Source organism: Homo sapiens, chromosome 17 (assembly GCF_000001405.40).
Source record: "Homo sapiens chromosome 17, GRCh38.p14 Primary Assembly".
NCBI classification, from domain to species: Eukaryota; Metazoa; Chordata; class Mammalia; order Primates; family Hominidae; genus Homo; species Homo sapiens.
Window position 1 is genome coordinate 36,987,744 of NC_000017.11, and position 16,729 is coordinate 37,004,472.

General features: G+C 39.2%; 1 protein-coding gene across 3 annotated transcripts in view; it reads left to right on the top strand.

Annotated features, from left to right (window-relative positions):
• AATF (apoptosis antagonizing transcription factor) overlaps positions 1-16,729 on the top strand; it is a 107,918-nt gene that overhangs the window by 38,790 nt on the left and 52,399 nt on the right. For 2 of the 3 annotated variants that reach the window (NM_012138.4, NM_001411094.1), the window contains exons 6-8: positions 776-977; positions 1,504-1,668; positions 3,031-3,114. In NM_012138.4, coding sequence (NP_036270.1) covers positions 776-977; positions 1,504-1,668; positions 3,031-3,114 — 451 coding nt within the window. Of the gene's footprint in view, positions 1-775; positions 978-1,503; positions 1,669-3,030; positions 3,115-16,729 lie in introns of those variants that run through there. The other variant, XM_047435748.1, reaches the window with a different exon arrangement.

Here is a 16,729-nt window from a genome sequence, read left to right on the forward strand (position 1 = left end):
GTTTTCTTCACATTCAGCTTCTCTTGTATTTGGTTCAACTAATATTATTCATCTTTCCTTAACAGTTGGTTACAGAGAGACACATTTCCCTTATTGATTTGAGGATTAAGGTCGTAGAAATATGGTTATGTGTTTAATTTTTAAATACTGTCCTATAATACTGCAGGCCTGGTTCATACACATTTCTAATAATTCTTTTAAAACCTCATTTATTTTTATGGTTTACTTACCTTTTAAAAAATATTTTGAAACTAGTTCTTTTTATATTTGTTTTAAAAGTTACATGAGGCTGGGTGTGGTGGCTCATGCCCTGTAATCCCAGCACTTTGGGAGGCCGAGGCAGGTGGATCACTGGAGGCCAGGAGTTTGAAACCAGCTTGGCCAACATAGTGAAACACCATCTTTACTAAAAATATGAAAAAAATTAGTCGGGCATGGTTGCACACACCTGTAATCCCAGCTACCCATGAGGCTGAGGCATGAGAATTGCTTGAACCCAGAAGTGGAGGTTGCAGTGAGCCAAGATCGCGCCACTGCACTCCAGCCTGGGCAACAGAGCAAGACTGTCTCAAAAAAAAAAGTTACACGAGTTTTTGATTGATCTCATGAATATTCTTCTCAAAGAGCAAAAGCCATCCTTATATCTTTGGTGTTATTTTGAATGGAGACAGAACAGGTAAGGCCTAAATATTCTCAGTCCTTTATGTGAGCCTAGTTTTTAAAATCTAAGTAATGTTTGTTTACACTGGACATAATATTCTTACTGCTTTTCTAGTGAGGAGATTTCTAGTGAAGATGATGAGCTGGTAGAAGAGAAGAAGCAGCAACGAAGAAGGGTCCCTGCAAAGAGGAAGCTGGAGATGGAGGACTATCCCAGCTTCATGGCAAAGCGCTTTGCCGACTTTACAGTCTACAGGAACCGCACACTTCAGAAATGGCACGATAAGACCAAACTGGCTTCTGGAAAACTGGGGAAGGCAAGTGTGTGTATGCGCGCATGTATGTGTAAGATAGGTTGTGGCAACTTGAAGAAGTTTTAAGAAATTGGAACTACAGCTCATTTATATGGATGTTGTCACGATGTAATGGTAATCATTCATTTCTATAGCAAAATCTACTGAACTTCTGGCACTGGGGTTTATACGATTCAGACTTGGGATTTTAACTTTATTAGAAAGAATGTTTTATTCTTAAAATTGAGGCCTTGTAAGTGTTCAAGTGCTGAAAATCCAAATACTTTAAAGGAGTGGATTTCAAAGCAATAATTATTAAAGTATCAGAAGCTAATCTCCGTGTGTAGAAAAATGATATGACCTGCTTAAGACTAACTTTTTTTTTTTAAGAACAATTATAGCCACTCACAAACTCAGTCCTTTACAGAAAGTCCCTCCTGAAAAGATGATTTTCTATCTCTCTGCTGACACAGAAAGATAGAGAAACCAATGTAGCTTGCCTTCAGCACTGATTTTCTGCATTATCTGACACTGCTTAATGTTGTTGCAGGGTTTTGGTGCCTTTGAACGCTCAATCTTGACTCAGATCGACCATATTCTGATGGACAAAGAGAGATTACTTCGAAGGACACAGACCAAGCGCTCTGTCTATCGAGTTCTTGGCAAACCTGAGCCAGCAGCTCAGCCTGTCCCAGAGAGTTTGCCAGGGGAACCGGTAAGAACTCTGTAATGCAGAGTGATTATGGGGAATAGTTTCTATGAGGCTTATTAGCTGAAAAACTTGTAGCTATTACCTGTTTATATAAGAGGTTAGTGAGAGAAAGGAAAGCAACACTACTTTACTGGATTACTGAGAGAAACTTGAGTGTATGTGAGAGGAGAGAGTTTTTAAAAATGGGGCTTCTATTAACTCCTGTGTGTCATCTTCTCTTAATTTTGAGTTTGATGCAGGAGTCTGGTAGTAGAAGCATTCATAATCCAATTTTCAAAATTCAGTTTTAAAGCTACTTCTGTAGAAATGTCAGTATTGAAACAAGTGTGTACTTTAGGCTCAACGTTTGCCATTTAGGTACTTTAGAAAGGGTGCAGAAGTGGAATAGTCAAATTCTTTTGTTTAAAGGAAACATTTAAAATTTTTTAATTATGGAAGAAATATATACTTAATCCTTTTTTAGTTTATAGCAACTTAAAATGAAAAGCAAAATTCTCTACTCTGAAAATTTCACTCCTGAGGTGAAATTTTTTTATTTTTTTTGTCAATTGCCTGTTAACGTAACTCCTGAGGTGAAATTTTCAGTATTTAATAGTTGTAACAAGTTTACAGTTAATAATTAATAGTTGTAACAAGTTTTTGGGTCTTTTCTATTTGTGTAACTATATATGTGTGCAAATAACAAATATATATGTATAAATATGGTTGCCTTTTTTACTAAATGAGAGACATTTATGTAGTATAAATATGTAAAATATTACAACTGTATTTAAAGTCTTGCAACTTTTAAAATCTAATAAGTCCTAGATACTCTTTCCATTTCATTACCTAGAGAGCTACCTCATTTTTCCTAATGACCTCAAAGTATTCCATTGTATGGATATGCACTATCATTTATGCAAACAATGGATATTATGTTGTCTCCAGTTTCAGAAACACTGCTACAGGAAAGATTCCTGTACATGTATTATGTGTTCGTATAAATATATGGGTAGATTTCTTGAAGTGGAAGTGTTAAAGAAAATACACCAAATTCTGATAGATGTTGCCAAATTGCCTCCAAAAAGGCTGCATTAATTTCAGTCGTAGAGGTGAAAAATGGTATCTTCTAATTCTAATTTACACATATTTAATTTGAATGAGGGTAAACATATTTTCATATGATTATTTATGGGTTTTTTTGGTCAACTGCCTGTTAATGTTTTTGCCTGTTTTCATATTGGACTGTTTTGTTTTTTAATTTTAAGAACTTTTTATATCTTAAGGAAAACAGTGCTTTGACTGTTCTACATATTATTTATAGTAGCTACATTAGTTAGATAGCCTTGTTGGGATTCACTCTTTTCTTACTCATTGTTAACATAGGAGATCCTTCCTCAAGCCCCTGCTAATGCTCATCTGAAGGACTTGGATGAAGAAATCTTTGATGATGATGACTTTTACCACCAGGTGAGACTTTTACACTCTCTTGTTACAAATCATGTTTTAGCATTTTAAAGCAGCTTATAGAATTCTCTGAACAAAGAAGTTGCTTATTTTGGAAGGATAGAGTCAGACAGTGAGTTAGAACTCCCGCGTTCAAAATTGACTTACAGTGTCATTGTGGATTTGTTGCTTTTCTTCTATTTTATGTTTTCCTTTTGAAATGAAAACAGCTATAGCTACTTTGTTGTTGCTTGAGTGTAAATTAGCTGTAAAACAGTTTCAGGTTTTTTTCTCTGAGTCAAGTGGGTTCTTTCTGAGCCATTTTTGATGATGGAGGATTTGTTAAGTTATTTGGTTTCTTGTCTCATTACTATTAGAATGGGCCGTGGAGCTGGAGGGCTGGGATCCCAGAGTTCCTGAATTGCGCTACTGATCCTATTATCTGTTAAATCTTGTTCTTAATGTCTTTTTGTGCCTGTCGAAGTCAGTTAAGTATGTATTGAGAATGTCTGCAACTGTTGATTATAATAAGAGCATAGTGCTTTTGAAGACAGAGAGAATTGGTAGAAGTTGAAATATAGTCCAGTTCTCAATATGTTTTCAGACTCCCCCACTTCTTTCCCTGACATTACTCTCTGCTGGCATGCTGTTCTTTTTAATGATGCCAGAGACTGTTAAGATAGACTAAACATTTGGGCTGTTCTAGAGAACTGAAATAACTTCCTGTATTCCTGAGTCTCTTGATAAGTTATACTTTTTTTTTTTTTTTTGAGATGGAGTCTCGCTCTGTCACCCAGGCTGGAGTGCAGTGGCGCAATCTCGGCTCACTGCAAGCTCTGCCTTCTGGGTTCACGCCATTCTCCTGCCTCAGCCTCCCGAGTAGCTGGGACTACAGGCGCCCGCCACCAGGCCTGGCTAATTTTTTGTATTTTTAGTAGAGACGGGGTTTCACCGTGTTAGCCAGGAGGGTCTCAATTTCCTGACCTCGTGATCTCCCTGCCTCAGCCTCCCAAAGTGCTGGGATTACAGGCTTGAGCCACTGCACCCGGCCAGACAAATTATACTTCTTAATAGAGTGTGTGTTTGGCTGTACCCTTTCTAGCTTAGTGGAGAATAGAGGAAGCTGTTCAGCAGTGATATACCAGTTATTGTTGAGCCATTGTTTATCAAGATAATTTTTTTCTCTGTCAAATTTTTAATGTGCTAGCTTTAGCCAAGTAATTTGCGACTGCTTGTTGAGGGTTTAGCCATGACTGCTGTACTGTGTATATGGATATGAAGAAGAACTTCTTAGGAAAATTACATGTAAAGTCAATATAGAACAAGTGATTTTATATTGGGGATACCTCTGGTCTTGCCCTAAAAAGAGAAAGAGACTTTCTATTAATTTTTTTTATTCATTCTATAATGTTTGATAAAATTATTGCCATAAGTAAGTCTTAAAAGTAATGACTAGAGGGTATAGGAAAAAAAGATTGGTGTGGCTGCAGCTGTTCCCTGTCAGAGGTCCTGATTCTTTTTTCCTCTTCTCTTATTATATTCATTTGTCAGAAGAGTAAGGAACTCTATTTTGTTCTAGAGTGTCTAAGGAAGTACCTGATATGGGATATTAATGCTGTATAATTGTGTGAGATCACGGGAGACAATCAAAAATGTTCCAGTCCTCATTAATTGAAGTGTACATTGTTCGATGAAAAGTGCATCATAAATTAAATAGGCTTAATAAAATAAAGTGAAATTACTGGGGAGAAGTTGCCTCTGTTGGCAATCCTTAGTCTGAATTTTTTTTTTTTTTTTTTGCCTGGAGGTCTGTTTAAAAAGAAATAGCATTACTTGATTGGCCCTTCATCCCAATTAATAATTTTAACTTCGATAAATTCTGATTTCAGAGTTATGACTAGTCACATCTTAGCTTTTCCCCTTGCTGGTTAATTGGGGTGCTGGGGTTAATCTAAATTAAAACTTAAACTAATAGAGGTCAGCAAGGCAGCTAAAACACCTGAGTGAAACAAATGGGGCTGCCAGGCACAACTTTATCTTGGCTGTTTCCCAAGAGGGAAGTGGCAGCAAATTGGAGTTGTTTCAGCCTTCTGTAAAGGTGAATGATGGGTGACACTTGTTAATGTACAGCATCTCCGGAAGCATTCCAGATTGCTTTGCTGCTACACCAACTGCTGCCATCCATGCACAGTCAGTAGGAACTGGACCAGTTGCCAACATCTGGCAGCACAGCAAGGAATGGGTGCAAGTCTTGAAACCCTGCAGATTCTAAATATGGTGCTTAGAACTGTGCAGGTTTTAATCACTTACCACTCTTTGGCAGCGGGCTACGACAGCTTATCCTAGCCTCGTACATCACATTCCGACATCTGCTGAGCTGCAAGGCAGCTGCACATTCATTTTCTTTTCTTGCCTTTTCTCTTTGCTTCCCATTCCCCTTCTTCTTCCCACTCCCCTCACCCTTCAGTTTTCCTCCCCCTCCCAAATATGCTTCTTGGGAGAGATGATCTGTAAAGATTACTGCTTCATTGTGTGCAAGTAATTGTGGTGATGCCAGGCCCTTGACAGACACAAGGTAGCACCTGTTCTGCTGACCTGGTTAATTTCTTCTGTTGAGTGGGATTTGCCAGAGATTGGAGCTGAAGCCAATTCAGTGATAAGGCTAAAGAAAATGGCTGTATGTTTTCTGTCACTTCCCAATTAAATTGGCTTCATAAAGTGCTTTCCTTTATTTGTCAGAGTAGTAAGCCTGAGCTAAGTGTTGCATTCAGAAGTGGTTCAATATATTACAATGGGCCTGTGAGTTTTCATTTGTGTGGTTTTTTTTAACATGGTCATATGGAAGAGCTGGGTGGTGAATATAATACATTCCCCCTTTTTTAAAACCATACTTGAAGCCAGACTCTTTGGGTTCATGTTTTGTAAGGAAGAGATTATAGCCACATTGAATTTTAATGTTCCATTGTAAGGGTTTAAAGGCTTACTTGGTTAATTCAGGTGTCTTGAAGCTGTGTGAATGCCCTAACTACTGAGAATGATGTGTGGGCTCAGAACACTCCCCCTCTACACACACATACTCATTCACACTTTCATTCTTTGTTTCTTAATGGGCTTTAAGTTACCATATCTTTCAAAATATACTTGTATTATTTAATAAAGGTACATGTATATATGTATGTATATGTGTGTGTACATACATACATATGTATGTGTGTGGGCCATAGAAGATAGTATCTGATATCATAAATAATCTTATCATTTTTAGAGCTGAAAAGAACCTTAGAAGAAACTGACACCCTGAGAAGTTAAGTAACCGTCTGACATCATATAGTAAATGGCAACACTGGTAGTTAATGTCAGGACTTCTTAGACCAAGTCTTGCTCTGTCCATACCTTTATTTCTTAAATATTTCATTCTTGAGCCATAAAGAGATTTCACTGTAGTATTACAGTTTTCACTTTGTAAATAAATAAGCTTTATTTTCATAGAACCAGAAAAAGTATTTTGTGTTAGAAAGTAATTTTTTTCCTTAGAAGGCAAATGATTTATTGAGCTTTTGTTACTTAAACAATTCTAATGAAAAAATTAGCTTTATAGTTTTGTTACCGGTTTGTTTGGAAACTGGAATTGCTGAAAGCATGAAGTATAGCCAATGGTGAAGGTTTTATGAGAGAAACTGTTCATCTGCTTCAGAAAAGCATTGCAGGATTTTACTTCCAAACAGAATTACTTTACAGTTGGCCTATTTCTTGTCAAAGCGCATTCCTAAAGGCAGTTTCACAAAACATGAAGGTTGTAAATGACCACGAAGGATGAGCCATTCAGAAATATTTTCAGTGTCTGTTTGTTATGTCATGATCCTATCTGCTACTTCATAACATTCAGTTCTCTTCAGATCTGTTGTCTGTATCACCATTTAAGGCTTTTGTTTTGTTTTATTTTTTTAAACCATCAGATGATCTTTGACTTGATAAGCCTAAGTTTTTAAAGAATCAGGGAAGGACCAGGATTTGCTAAACACTAGTGGCGTGCCAGTCCCTGGACTAAGTAGATAGGTACTTGGCATGTGTCTTGATTTAATCCTCACAAGATCCTCGTATTGTGATGTAACTGCACTTAGCAATAAGCTATATAAAGTGGCTGGTTTTCTTCTTTTCATATCCCAGATCGCAAACTAGTTTCTTGTCACTTCATGCGATATTTTGTTCTGAAAGGACTAATTGAGCTTAGATGTTGACAGATCAATACCTGGATTTCTAAGAGTTCATTAGGGTTTTGTATGTTGCTTCTAGCTCTGTTTAGTTTTGATCTGGTTTGTCCTGTCACTTTGACTCTAGCCAAGAGTATCTAGAGAACGGCATAATAGGTTTTGCTCTTTTGATGACCACTTTGACGGGTTAAATTTCTTCTTTCATTTGCCATCAGGACATGTCTATAACTGACCTTGCCACATGCTGAATTTTTGTGTCTAAGACATTTGATAATGCCATAAACAGGTAATTACTAATTCAGTGAACTATTAAAAGTCGATAATGTTGAGAAATAGAGAAGAGGCAGGCTTTTTGACATGACAGTTTAATTAAATTGGTGAGCGATTAATATGGACAGGTGATGTGGTAGAATTGTATGCATTTAGATCTTAGTGTGAATAAGAGGTGTCCCAAGCTACCCTTATGTTAATGGTGATATGATATTTTTTATATATTTGTTGTTTTTATTTATCGATTTATTTTGTTTGTTTGTTTGTTTTTGAGACAGGATCTCACTCTGTTGCCCAGGCTGGAGTGCAGTGGTGCGATCTCAGCTCACTGTGACCTCGACCTCCTGGGCTCAAGCAATCCTCCCACCTCAGCCTCCCAAGTAGCTGGGACTATAGACAGGTACCATCACACCCAGCTAATTTTCATATTTTTTGTAGAGACGGGGTTTTGCTGTGTTGCCCAGGCTGGTCTTGAACTCCTGGGCTCAAGCAGTTTGCCCACCTTAGCCTCCCAAAGTGCTAAGATTACAGGTGTGAGCCACGGCACCCAGCCTGGCAGGATGATATTCTTACTATTGGCATATATCTTTCCAGTGGTTCAACTGATGGTTAATAACATGTTTTTAAGTCTGATTTGAACCTGCCTCTGTGAATGAGTTGTTGGACTCATGTCTTCTGTTCAGGGCAGTATTTTGTTTTTAGTTTTACTTTAAAATGTTGCTGTTATTTGAGATCTGGATAGTGTTTCTTAAAAGTTTGATGAAACTTATTACGCATAGATATTTACGGTTATTTTAGAGAGAACATATGTATGAAGTACATAAATTTTAAAATTGGCCAGGCATGGTGGCTCACACCTGTAATCTCAGCACTTTGGGAGGCCAAAGTGGGTGAATGACTTGAGCCCAGGAGTTTGAGACTAGCCTGGGCAACATGGCGAAACTCCGTCTCTACAAAAAATGCAAAAAAAATGAGTCAGATGTGATGGCACTTGCCTGTAATCTCAGCTACTTGGAGACTGAGGTGGGAAAATCATCTGAGACCAGGAGGTCGAAGCTACGGTGAGCCAAGATCGCATCACTACACTCCAGCCTGGGCGACAGAGAATAAATAAACAAATGAAATAAAAATTAAAAATTGAAATTATGATTGAAGATATAGCATGGAATTAGGTTTCTTGGGGCATAGTAATGGTATTAAAAACAACTCAAAGCAAATACCAGGGCCCAATTAAATTTCAGTTTTAATAACTGCAAGATTATTTTGTATACCATGTGTAAGAATGTTATTGGAACTGCATGGTAGTTTCTGCTTCTTTAAGACATTTTCCACCAAAAGTGCTGCCATTGTATATCTGTCAATGTTTAGACCCAGGTATGTCATCAATATTAGCATTTGGTTGCTAGCTTGGGCTCACTGTTGTGGAAGCTGCACAGAACAGGAAGCAAAAGCCACATTTTTAAATGCGAAGTCTAGAAATTTCATCAAACAGGAGCGTCAAGGTAAGGTGCACATGACTGGCCCTCATTTCTTTCAGGTTTCTTGCTTTAAAAAACATCAGAGCATGACTTGAGTACTACTACTTCGTTTAAACAAAGGTAAAACCTCAGAACGAAGCCTAAAACAGTACATTTTACAGGGCCAGCTGGGAAAGAGATAAGAATTGGCTTAGAAGTGTTGAAGAAACTTTTTCAAACACAAATGGTACCTGGAGAGTTTGCTAGGCAAATATGTGGCCAAAATTACCCTTTTTGTACTAATATGCCCAGTGTCAGCCAACTGAGTGTAAATTAAACACAGGATCCCAGCAGTATTTTAGTAGCCTCAAGTATAGAGTTTGGCACTCCTCAAGAAATGGAGACATTACCTCTTCACTAAAGTAGGCATGAGGTCTTGGTATTAATGTGTTGCTCCTTTAAAAGTAACATATCGGAAAAATGATTTAGCAAAGAAAGGGGAAGTTTATAGGCATCTTCAAATATGTATATGTATTGTGAGAAAATCTTCACACTCTATACATCTGACAAAGGACTGATATCCAGCATCTACTGCAAACTCAAATCAGTAAGAAAAAAACAATCCCATCAAAAAGTGGGCTAAGGACATGAATAGAAAATTCTCCAAAGAAGATATACAAATGGCCAACAAACATGAAAACATACTCAGCATCGCTAATGATCAGGGAAATGCAAATCGAAAGCACAATGCGATACCACCTTACTCCTGCAAGAATGGCCATAATAAAAAAATCAAAAAACAGTAGATGCTGGTGTGGATGTAGTGAACAGGGAACACTTCCATACTGCTGATGGGAATGTTAACTAGTACAGCCACTGTGGAAAACAGTGTGGAGATTCCTTAAAGAACTAAAAATAGAACTACCATTTGATCCAGCAATCTCACTACTGGGTATCTACCCAGAGGAAAAGAAGTCATTATTTGAAAAAGATACTTGCAGATACATGTTTATAGCAGAACAATTCACAATTGCAAAATCATGGAGCCAACCCAAATGCCCATCAATCAACGAGTGGATAAAGAAACTGTGGTATATCTATATGATGGAATACTACAGAACCATAAAAAGGAATGAATTAACAGCATTTGCAGTGACCTGGATGAGATTGGAGACTATTACTCTAAGTGAAGTAACTCAGGAATGGAAAACAAACATCATATGTTCCCATGGGTATGTGGGAGCTAAGCTATGAGGACACAAAGGCATAAGAATGATACAATGGACTTTGGGGACTCGTGGGGGAAGAGTGGAAGAGGGGCAAGGGATACAAGACTACAAATATGGTGCAGTATCTACTGCTTGGGTGGTGGGTGCACCAAAATCTCACAAATCACCACTAAAGAACTTAGCCATGTAACCAAATACCACCTGTAACCCAGTAACTTATGGAAAAAAAAAATGTATATGTATTGTTGATCTAGATAAAAACATAATCATTTTAAAGTTGGATAGCGTCTTTGGAGACCATCAAGTCCAAACTCTCTTTTCACAAGTGCAGAAAATGGAGCCTGAAGGAAGTACATGACTGTTGTAAGATTTACCCACTTAGTGAAATAGGACATTGAAACCTGTGTTCTTGCTCCCAGTTTGATTTTCTTTCTGACACATTATACTCCCTTCTGATTGGACAAGTTTGAAAATCCTTTGAGAATTTTATTTTCAAATCTATATCTGTTTAGGACATTGGAGATCTACTGTATCTTTTAGCACTCTGATGATTCACAAGTATCATTTTTATACAGTTATAAACTTTATTCAGTTAACATTTATTAGTCTGGGCACAGTGGCTCACATCTATGGTCCCAGCTCTTTGGGAGGCCAAGGCAGGAGGATTGCCTGAGTCCAGGAGTTCAAGGCCAGCCTGGACAATATAGTGAGACCCTGTCTCTAAGAACAACAACAAAAACATTTATTATGCCAGATGCTAGTTTTATAAAGGCTAGTAAGACCAAAATCCCTGCCCAAAGAATTTGTGTTACCTAAGAAGAGTGAATATCTATGCAGTCACAAAATTAAGAGTGTGACTTTAATAAAATTAAGGTGGAGAAAATAAATGTTGAAAAGAGCAATCAGGTATTTGATACAAAAATGTACATGTGGTTCTCTAGGGTTCTCACAAACATGCCTCAAGCATTCATTAGCCTACTGGTTTACCCCTCAACATACACCTGATCTAATTCTACAGTAATTTCTCTATAACTTGTAAAAGGCCTTACGAGGCACTATTTGACATAAACATTGGATAATACAAATTCCATATTTTCCAAGAATGTAATCATTGTTGGAAGCCGTATGGAGTTGCTGGTATCCACTGTTACTTATTTCAGGGTAGAAGAATCTTCAGATTGGTGATAGGTAGAAGAGGGTTCATTTTGCTATTGTCTACTTTTGTGGATGTTTGAAAATTTCTGTAATAAAAAGTTAAAGAGGAAAAAAGTCATATTTCTTTTTTCCTTCATTCATTCAACAAATATTTGAGTATCTACTGTGTATTTATTGAGTAACTACTGTCCTAGGCTGTGCTGTCTAATGTAGTAACTGCATGTGGCTGTTTAGATTTAAATTTTGATTAATTTAAATAGTATAAAATAAATGGTTCAGCTCCTCAGTCACACTAGTTATATTTCAAGTGCTAAGTAACCACATGTGCTAGTTGCTATTGTATTGGATAGTGCAAATGTAGAACATTTCCATTACCACAGAAAGTTCTCTTGGAGCTCTGTTAGAGGCTGGAAGAAAACAAAGTTCCTGCCCTCATGAGCGTTCATTCTAGCTTAGAGGTAGGATGAAACAGGGAACTACATTGTGACAAATGCAGTAGAGAATGATGAAACTGGTTATGGTGAAAGCAAGCCCTAGGATAGGGAAGTGATGGTTACTGTTTTAATTTAGGATGTTTAGGAGATAAAGATATTTGAGAAGAGACCTGAGGAAATGACAAACAGAGCCATGCAGTTGTCTGGGGGAAGAGCATTAGGGACAAAGGGGATGGCAAGTGCACAGACTCTGAGGCAAAAGGGAGGCTAGCGTGTTCCAGGAAAATCAGGGAGGCCAGAGTCATGGGGGTCGGTGGGGGAGTAGGCAAGAAAGAGGATGGTAGGAGAGGAAGTCAAGAGGTAATGGGAGGCCAGGTCCTGTGGGACCTTGTAGGCCACTGTAGCACTTTGATGTGGCTGAGATGGGAAACTACCAGAGGATTTTGAATATAGAGGAGTAATATGATTGGACTCATATTTTAAAAGGATCACTGATGGCTGTGTTAAGAGTAGACATGAGAGAATGGGGGGCAAGGTGGCAGACAGGGGACCAGTTAAAAGACTCTAGTGATAATCCAGGCAAGCGATGGCAGTGGCTTAAACTAGGGTGGTTTTGGAAGAGAGAACTGGTTGGATTCTGGATTTATGTTGAAGGTTGAGCTGACACAGGATTTGCTGATGGGTTGTATGTGGTATATCAAAAGAGAGTAGTCAAGAATGACCATTAAGATTTTGGCCTGAGCAGTTGGAGGGATTAAGTTGCTATTTACGGAGTTGGGAAAAAACAGTGAGAGAAGCTAGTTTGGAAGATAAATCAGGAGCTCGGTTTTGGTTATATTGCCCCCTCCTCCCAACCCCTGTGGACCTATGTTGGCTTTATTTTTGTTACTAGGACCTATGTTGGCTTTATTTTGGTTACAGATTAGTTATATTGTTTATGATACTTCTGCCACATTCATGTGGAGTTGTTGAAGAGTTATATATATATTTTTGGAGTTCATGGGAAGGTCCAGGCTGAAGGTATAAATTTGTGAGCCTTCAGCATATAGGTTGTATTTAATACCATGAGATTGAATGAGATTACCTAGAAAATGAAGGCAGAGAGAAAAAGAGATTCGAAGCCCACGTCCTGGAACATTCAAATATTTATAGATTGGGGAGATGGGAAGGACCAACAAAAGTGATGAAGAAGGAGCAACCAGTGATGTAAGAGAGAATAAAGGAAGAGTGATTTTCCAGGTTGCATGTAAAGAAAGTGTTTCAAGAAGGAGGAGATCACTTGAGCCCAGGAGTTTGAAGCTGCAGTGAGCTATGATCATACCACCGCACTCCAGCCTGGCTAACAGAAGGAAACTCTGTCTCTTACCCACCTCCCACAAAAAAAAGGTAAATTCAGTATTATCCTGATACCCAAACCAGACTAAAACATCACAAAGAAGAAATTACAGGCTGTGCACAGTGGCTTAGGCCTGTTATCCCAATACTTTGGGAGGCCAAGGTGGGAGGATTGCTTGAGCCCAGGAGTTTGAGACCAGTCTAGGCAACATAGGGAGACCCCGTCTCTATAAAAAGCAAAAAAACTATCCAGGCATGGTGGTCCATGCCTGTAGTCCCAGCTATTCAGGAGACTGAGGTGGGAGGATCTGCTTGAGGTTGGGAGGTTGAGGCTGCAGTGAACTGTGACTGTGGCACTGTACTCCAGCCTGGGCAACAGAGCAAGACCAAGAAAAGAGAGAGAGAGAGAAAGGAGAGAGGGAGGGAGGAAGGAGAAAGAGAGAGAGGGGAGAGAGAGAAAAAGGTATGGGAGGAGGGAGGGAGGAAGGAAGGAAGGAAGGAAGGAAGGAAGGAAGGAAGGAAGGAAGGAAGAAAAAAAAAAAAAAGGAACATAAAAAGGATTACACACCATGACCAAGAAGGATTTAGCCCAGGAATGCAAGGTTAGTTTAACATCAAGAATCAATTAATGTATTATAACATATCAATAGAATATGGAAAGAAACCACATGATCATCTCAATAGAGACAGCAAAAGCCTTTAACATCTTCTCATGAGAAAAACATTTTTAAAACTAGAGATACAAGGAAACTTCCTCACCTGATAAAGAGCATCTGTGAAAACCACAAATAACGTCATACTCACTGACCAGAGACTGAATGCTTTCTCCTGAGATTAGGAACAAGACAAGGATGTCTGCTCTTGCCACTTATTCAGCATCATACTATCTAGCCAGGGCAGTTAGGCAAGAAAAAGAAAAGACATCCAAATTGGAAAGGATGAAGTAAAACTATCTTTTATTTGCAGATGATATGATCCTATATATAGAAAGTACCAGCTAGGCACGGTGGCTCACGTCTGTAATCCCAGCACACTGGGAGGCCAAGTGGGTCAGATCAGCTTGAGGCCAGGAGTCAAGACCAGCCTGGCCAACATGGTGAAACCCCGCCTCTACTAAAAATACAAAAATTAGCCAGGCGTGGTGGTGTACGCCTGTAATCCCAGCCACTCGCAAGGCTGAGGCAGGAGAATCACTTGAACCTGGGAGGTGGAGGTTGCAGTGAGCCATGATAGCACCACTGCACTCCAGTCTGGGCAACAGAGGGAGACTCCGTCTCAAAAAAAAAAAAAAAAAAAATACTAAAGAAGCCACCAAAAAACTACTAGAGCTAATTAATAAATGAATTCAGCAAAGTTGTAGGATACAAAATGAATGCACAAAAATCAGTTGTGTTTCTGTATACCAGCAATGAATGACCTCAAAAGGAAATTAGAAAAATAATTCCATTTAAAATAGCATCTGGCTGGGCATGGTGCCTCACACCTGTAATCCCAGCACTTTGGGAGGCCAAGGCGGGCAGATCACAAGGTCAGGAGATTGAGACCATCCTGGCTAACACGGTGAAACCCTGTCTCTACTAAAAATACAAAAAAAAAAAAAAATTAGCCGTGGTGGTGGGCGCCTGTAGTCCCAGCTACTTGGGAGGCTGAGGCAGGAGAATGACGTGAACCCAGGAGGCGGAGCTTGCAGTGAGCCAAGATAACGCCACTGCAGTCCAGCCTGGGTGAAAGAGCAAGACTCCATCTCAAAAAAAAAAAAGCATCTAAAATAATAAAATACCTAGGAATAAACTTAACCTAGAAGATGAAATATTTAACACACTGAACATTATAAATATTGCTGAAAGAAATTAAAGACCTAAATAAATGGAAAGCTGTCCCATGTCCATGGATTAGAAGACTTAACATTATTAAGATGACAGTACTCCCCAAATTGATCTAAAGCTTCAAAACAATCCCTATCAACATTCCTGTTGCTGTTTTTTTTTTTTTTTTTTTTTTGCAGAAATTAACAAGCTGATTCTAAAATTCATATGGAAATGTAAGGACCCAAAATAGCCAAAATTATCTTGGAAACAAAACAAAACAAAGTTGGAGCATTCACACTTTCCAGTTTCAAAACTTACCACAAAGCTCCAATAATCAAGACATTGTGGTGCTGGCATAAGGCTAGGCATATAGATCAATGGAATATAATTGAGAGTCCGGAAGTTAACCTTTACATTTATAGTTCATTGATTTTCAACAGGAGTACCAAGACGATTCAGTGGGCAGAAGAACAGTTTTTTGTTTTGTTTTTTAACAAATGGTGTTGGAGCAACTGGATATCCACATGCAAAAGAATGAAGATGGAGCCTTCCCTCACACCTACACAAAAGTTAACTATAGTGAATCACAGACCCAAACATAAGAGCTGAAACTATTAAACTTTTAGAAAAAAAACAGGAGTAAATCTTCATGCTGCAGGTAGATTAAGTAAGATGAGGGCTGAGAGAGAATTGATCTTGGTTTAGCAATGTGGAAGTCATTGGTGACCTTGACAAGAACTTTTTTTTTTTTTTTTTTTTTTTTTGAGACAGGGTCTCATGTCACCAGGGCTGGAGTGCAGTGGGGCTCACTGAAACTTCTGCCTCCCAGGCTCAAGTGATCCTCCCACCTCAGCCTCCCAAGTAGCTGGAACTAAAGGCGTGCACCACCACACCCGGCTGGTTTTTGTATTTTTAGTAGAGATGGGGTTTTGCCGTGTTGCCCAGGCTGGTCTCACACTCCTGATCTCAAGTGATCTGACTGCCTCAGCCTCCCAAAGTGCTGGGATTACAGGTGCGAGCCACCATGTCTGACCAACAAGAACTCTTTTAGTAGAGTGGTGGAGGGGGTTCAAGAGAGAATGGGAGGAGGCCGGGCATGGTGGCTCACACCTGTAATCCCAGTGCTCTGGGAGGCCAAGTTGGGCAGTTCACTGGAGATCAGGAGCTTGAGAACAGCCTTGGGCAACATGGCAAAACCCCATCTCTACTAAAAATACAAAAAATTAGCAGGGCATGGTGGCATGTGCCTCTACTCCCAGCTGCTCAGGAGGTCGAGGCAGGAGAATCGCTTGAACCCAGGAGGTAGAGGTTGCAGACTTTTTTTTGGTGGCTCCCGCCTGTAATCCTAGCACTTTGGGAGGCCGAGGCAGGTGGATCACTTGAGGTCAGGAGTTCAAGACCAGCCTGGCCAACATGGTGAAACCCCATCTCTACTAAAAATACAAAAAATTAGCCAGGCGTGGTGGCGGACGCCTGTAATCCCAGCTACTTGGGAGGCCGAGGCAGGAGAATTGCTTGAATTCAGGAGGCGGAGGTTGCAGTGAGCTGAGATCGCACCATTGCACTCCAGCCTAGGCAACAAGAGCTAAACTCTGAAAAAAAAGAGAGAGAGTGAGAGGAAATAAATTGGAGACAGTGAGTATAGACAGCTTTGAGGAGGTTTGCTGTAATGGGAATAGAGAAATGGGACAGCTGCTGGAAGGTTTGAGAGAGAGTTTTAAGATAGGAGATGTATTTTGT